The sequence below is a fragment of the Homo sapiens genome, chromosome 8, assembly GCF_000001405.40.
Source record: "Homo sapiens chromosome 8, GRCh38.p14 Primary Assembly".
NCBI classification, from domain to species: Eukaryota; Metazoa; Chordata; class Mammalia; order Primates; family Hominidae; genus Homo; species Homo sapiens.
This window is the reverse complement of record NC_000008.11, coordinates 575,698-579,829: the sequence shown is the minus strand read 5'-3', so window position 1 is coordinate 579,829 and position 4,132 is coordinate 575,698. Positions and strand designations below refer to the sequence as shown.

General features: G+C 56.0%; 2 annotated features.

Moving 5' to 3' along the window:
* Positions 1,416–1,915: an enhancer, noted in NCBI's record as "H3K4me1 hESC enhancer chr8:527915-528414 (GRCh37/hg19 assembly coordinates)". NCBI's record gives its function as "activates a minimal SCP1, AML or CMV promoter by ChIP-STARR-seq in primed H9 embryonic stem cells {active_cell/tissue: H9 hESC(primed)}" and the evidence as "EXISTENCE:reporter gene assay evidence [ECO:0000049][PMID:30033119]".
* Positions 1,916–2,417: an enhancer, noted in NCBI's record as "H3K4me1 hESC enhancer chr8:527413-527914 (GRCh37/hg19 assembly coordinates)". NCBI's record gives its function as "activates a minimal SCP1, AML or CMV promoter by ChIP-STARR-seq in primed H9 embryonic stem cells {active_cell/tissue: H9 hESC(primed)}" and the evidence as "EXISTENCE:reporter gene assay evidence [ECO:0000049][PMID:30033119]".

The window sequence follows — 4,132 nt, the reverse complement described above, 5'->3', positions numbered from 1 at the left end:
ACACTGCAAAGCCACTCATCAAACGCTTCCTGAACCTGCACTTAGCCTGGGATGTGGGTGACCAGGCAGCGAATGGGACACTGAGTTCCCAGCCTGCAGTGTTGACAGGAGCACAGGTGAGCACAGGGCCAAGCACACAGGGACTGAGACATGAGGAGGGAGTACAGGCAGCCCAGGTGAGGCTGCACCAGCAAGTGAGGAGAGGCTTCTGGGGAGCACCACGGAGTGCCCTGAGTGGCCCTCAGACAGGAGGAGTAAACACACAGGACCAGGACCACCATGCCTGACGGGCCTCAGGCAGTGCATCTATGGACGGAGCCTCCCCACAACTGACACGCTATGCCTGAGTGACCCCCGCCATGCTGACTGGCATGTTGAGACCCTCAATGGCACTGCCACTCATGTCACCGGAGGGCACCTCCATCACCTGTGCCCAGCTGGGCTCCGTGCTGGGGGTGGTACTGAGTCCTGGGCCCTCTGGGAGCCGACTCTGGCACTCAAGCACACGTGAGCCGGCATGCTGGTGTCATGAGGAAGCCATCACCTGGCCCCGACCAGACATGGCCCGGTCACTCTGGGGCTTATATCCCTTCAGCGGGGACATAGAGATGCCAAGTCCATGCTCCCAACCAGGGACCAGGTGAGGGACACAGCGTTCGGTGCATGGCACCAAGGTACCTGGCACCGTCATGTCCTTGGTCCCATGTGCTGTGGGGAAGTAGCGTCCACACCATGGAGGGAGGGGTCCCAAGCAGACCCATGTCTTGAGCTGAGTCATTGTCCACACTGCCAGGGCCACAGGGCCCCATGGATCCACTCTCCTTGCTGGAGTCTCTGCTTGGGGCTGTGGCAGATGCTCTTCTGAGGCTCGGTAGCTGCTCCCTGAGAGGAGCGGCTGTGCCAGCAGCATCAGAGCTCAAGGTCGCTTGGGTTAGAGCTGCATTCCACGGGCTGCTGTCCTGTGTCTTTGCCAATCCCATTTCCATTAGTGTCTGCTGCACTCCACAGCCCTGTGCCCATCAGAGGCCTTCGGTCGCCTCACGAAGGACCCTGAGGAAGTGCAGGGCGATGGCAACCACGGAGCCACAGTGGCTGTTTCTAACTGCTCCAGCCACGGGGCGCTTTGAGGCCACACGGCCCACGCTTCTCCAACGGAAGAGACCAAAACTAGGAGGGGAAGGACCATGATTCAAGATACAGTGTGGTCTGGGCAGCGAATGTGTTTGTTAGCAAGGTCCAGTTCGGGAGAGGAACGATTTTTACCTGAGTTTAGTACCCACAGCTGGAAATGTGGGTGTTCATGGCGAGGCAGCCATGTGCTGCCACTTCACCTGCCGAGGGACAGGGGTCTGGAACGATGCCTTGAACAGTCTCCTGTGGACTTCAGCAAACCTGGCGGGGTGTTTGGTGGGAGGGCAGGGGCGGGGGTGCACCCAGCATGGTCTATGCCTGGTCTCCAGCGCTCAGTGTCATAGAGGACATCTGGTGACTTTCCAACTCGTTACGATCAATTTTCCTTCAATAGCCACAACGAAGCTGTTAAGCCCCAGAGGATGATCCTGGCAGCTTGTGGCACTTTGGGCTTTAAAATCAGTCACATATCCCAGTGGCTTTCACAGTAATTTAAAGGACTGTGCCGAGGAAAGTGTTTTGACGACACATGAAACATGTTCCTAGCCACATGTCTCCCGGGTCCTCGGATCTGGGGGCGAGAAAAGCATCTGGGCTTGGGTGGTCCTGACCACGCCCGCCGGCCATCGCACGCTGTGAGTCCCCTGCAAGGTTGCAGACGATTCTGTCCTCATACTACGGGAGACAACTCACCCCTGCTGCATGAGGTGGGTGCCCCTGGCCCACAAACAGCCACAAACAGGCACAGCGATCAATGTGGTCTGTGCCACGTGGTTTTCACAGGAGTCCCCAGGCCAAGCTCCCAGGCGGTGTCAGGACCTGAAGAAGGATCTGAGCCCAGGGATGCCTGGCGCAGGAAGCAGGACCACAGTGTCCCAGAGGACTTGCGGGTTAAGTGATGCGGGCCCTGCCCTCTTCTATGGGCCTCCTTTCACTCAAGTTCAGAAGAAAAGAGTGGCCCAGCAAAGTCCAGGGATTGGCTGGGCTTGGACTGCCCAGGTCCTGTGTCAGCCTCTGAAGCTGGGAATGGTACCACTCAGGGAGGGCTGAGGAGGGTCAGGGAGGGGCATCAGGTGCTCCCTGGAAGGGGGACAAGTGCAGTTGGCAAATCACCAAGAGCCTAGGGTGGCAGCAGGGCTGCCTGGGAGCTGGCTGGGCTCCTGACCACGGAGCCTCCGACCCTGGCCACAGCCCACAGAGTCGGCCTCACCCAAGACAGAGCCATCGAAGGCCTTCCATGGGGATCTTCTGGCCAGAACGTCCAGGAACAAAGGAAACACAACCTGCCATTTGGGCCCTGGGTCTCTAAGGCTGTGAGCCCAGAGCTCTGCCATGGGAGAATGCTGGCGGCCTGCGGAAATGGGCAGGAGCAAGATGGAGAGAGCCAGGCTGGCCCCTTCGCTGGCGTCCAGCCTACTTTGTTCTTTCCTTCATGGGCTTTTCAGGTTTTCAGGTTGAAATAATTTCCAGTGTATGGAGAAAGTACAGGAATAACAAAGATAATTCCTGTTTGCCAATTATACCCTCAACCCAGATTCACCGACCTCTAAACTGTTGCCCTGTGACTTCTCGTCCCTCCGCCCATGCCTACCTCTCTTCCAGCCCTGCCACCTGCCCTCCTTCCGCTTCCCAGCTCATCCGTTTATCATCTATCATCTATCATCCATCACTGTATCTGGCAGAGACTCACAGGCAGGCCAGGGAGTGAAAATGGGAGACGGTCCTGCAGGATTGCGGGGGGCACACTGTGCTTTCTCTGGTTGATCTTAAATTATAAGTAGGAGAAAAACCAGGGAAGGCGGCTGGGCACAGTGGCTCACTCCTGTAATCTCAGCACTTTGGGAGGCTGAGGTGGGCAGATTGCTTGATGTCAGGAGTTTGAGACCAGTTTGGCCAACATGGTGAAATCTTGTCTTTACTAAAAATCCAAAACTTAGCTGGGCATGGTGGCATGCGCCCATAATCCCAGCTACTCGGGAGACTGAGGCAGGTGAATCGCTTGGACCTGGGAGGTGGAGGTTGCAGTGAGCCGAGATCACACCACTGCACTCCAGCCTGAACAACAGAGTGAAACTCCATCTCAAAAAAAAAAAAAATCCGGGAAGGTGTTGGTTATGAGTCAAGTCCTGGCCTCATGGGGCAGCGACTGCTACGGGGTCACTGTTTGGCCTCCTGGACTCGCTCCTGGAGCAGTGGCCACCCCCTCGCCATGGCCAGCTCCAGTGCAGGGCCTATGCTGGTCCTCGTCAGGGTTGGAGTGGCTCCTTCCCACGTCCGTCCGGGAATAGGAAACCAACCCGGTGGGGCTTAGCATGCGTTGGGGCAAGTCAGGCTCCTCATAAACTGTTGTTAATGGATGAGTGACTGATTCAAAAATAATAAATGCGTGCAGAACCCTAAAAAACTGGCCTTTCAGTGAAGGAGTTGTGTCCTCCTTGTGCTCCTTATAGCACTGGCCATGCCGCCGCCCACTGCTGAGTCTGTATTCATGGGGCCTAACTTGGGTATGGTTTCTTCCAAAATAATATTCATGCTCTCGTCTCAGCCACAAAACAGGCCTCTGAGGTTTCTTTTTCTACAGCCGCACTTTTAGTAACAGTTAGGCCAACACCAGAACATACAATTCTCCCTCCTGTTAGGGAAGTGCCAGCTGGCGGCAAGAGGACCCTGTTCCACCAAAAACTTTAGCAAGTCGTCAGTATTTCCCGGGTTTACATCAGCGTCAAGGAGGCCATGTCAACGTCCTGGGAGAAGGGAGCCAGCGGCTGAGAGAGCGTCACAGGCACGAAGGGGCTGGGCTAGTTGGCAGCACTTAGGTGTAATTTTAAACTATTTCCAATCAGAGAAAGTAGTTGCTGCCTCTTTCTCTCTCATTTCTGCACTGATACTAGTGACTCCTTCTGTAGGTAATTCCAACCGTTAAATTAAGCCACATTAAGGTCAGCCCTGAAAGAAGTCAGCACCCGGCTGCAGGGCCATCTCCCGCCATGTGCTCCGGCTC